This window comes from Homo sapiens, chromosome 1 (assembly GCF_000001405.40).
Source record: "Homo sapiens chromosome 1, GRCh38.p14 Primary Assembly".
Taxonomy (NCBI): Eukaryota; Metazoa; Chordata; class Mammalia; order Primates; family Hominidae; genus Homo; species Homo sapiens.
Window position 1 is genome coordinate 5642683 of NC_000001.11, and position 1453 is coordinate 5644135.

The following is a 1453-nucleotide window of genomic DNA, read 5'->3' on the forward strand; positions in this document are numbered from 1 at the left end:
GGAGAAATACTTAATGTAGATGAGGGGTTGATGGGCGCAGCAAACCACTATGACACGTGTATACTTATGTAACAAACCTACATGTTCTGCACATGTATCCCAGAACTTAAAGTATTAAAAAGAAAAAAAAAGGAAAAAAAAAAAGCATATTGTGTATGCCAAGATAAGCCTTTGAAAAACACTGGGCTACAACAATGAATTAGATATCTGCCCTCAAAGCACTTTTATATGCTAAACATAAACCACAAACATTTACTGGACGCATACTATGTGCAGAGTAAGTTAATCCAAAAGAGGGAATAATCATTTGAATTTCAATATGAAAAAAAGAAAAACACTGATTGCAAAGGCATAGTATGATAAAAAGAATGTAAAAATCTCATTACATGCTGAAATGATTAAGTTTTGGATACGTCAAGTTAAATAACATCGTTAAAATTAATTTCATCTGTTTCTTTATCCTTTAAAAAATATCCTAAAAAAAATAACATCATTAAAATTTTAAAAAAAAAAGAAAGAAAAAGTGCTCATCATTAGGACAAATAGCTAATGCCTGTGGGGCTTAAAACCTAAATGCAGGTTAATAGGTGCAGCAAACCAGCATTGCACACGTGTGTACCTGTGTAACAAATCTGCACGTTCTGCACGTGTATCCCAGAACTTAAAGTAAAATAAAAATAAAATTTTTAAAAAAGAAAAAGTGCTCATTTCAGGCAGGATTTCATATGAAGGGTGAGACCTCCCTCCCATAGGTTTAAGGGCCCTGCTATTTCCTTTTCCTTGACTTGTGGGTTTGTGACCTTGGACAAGGTGTAAGGAAGCTGAGAATACCAGTCTGATCTCCCTCCTCCGGCCGCCACCACAGTTCTCGATTCAGGTTTGTGGGCCGGCCCAGTAGCTACTGACTGCCCTCCTGTGTCCAGAAACCAAGGGGCACATTTAAAAAGTAAATTGGAAGAGATTCTGCTGTGATGATTTTGTGCCCTCCTCAAGACAGCTGATAGCCCATTGGCATCTTTCAAGACCAGGGTTTGAACCAAAAGGTCTGGAAACCTCACAGAGCTGGAAGAGGAAGGGCGGAGGCACAGGGCACTGACCGAGGAGCAGCCCCTGCCTGCCACGCTCTGATGCCTGCTCCCCCAGCCTGCCCCGCGAGCTCACGGTTGGCTCATGAGCTGCGTGTCCCTGGGCCCACAGCTGTGCATTGCTAGCAGAGTGCTGAGCCATCTGCCGTGCAGGTAGGAGCCCTGAGCCGCAGAACCAGAATGAGAACTTCTGTGTGCTGCTGGGCCTGCCACAGAGATCCCAGACTCAGGCTGGATGGAAGCCCCAAAGGTGGCAAGTCTTCTGCACCCTGGCCCAGTGACAGACAGCACCCCACGCTACTGGGTGGATGCAGAGAAGTGTTTCCGAATGCCCCACCAAGAAGGCTTTGGGGGTGGAAAATGGCTTC

General features: G+C 44.0%; 1 annotated feature.

The window, feature by feature from the left end:
* Positions 653–1224: an enhancer, noted in NCBI's record as "H3K27ac-H3K4me1 hESC enhancer chr1:5703395-5703966 (GRCh37/hg19 assembly coordinates)". NCBI's record gives its function as "activates a minimal SCP1, AML or CMV promoter by ChIP-STARR-seq in primed H9 embryonic stem cells {active_cell/tissue: H9 hESC(primed)}" and the evidence as "EXISTENCE:reporter gene assay evidence [ECO:0000049][PMID:30033119]".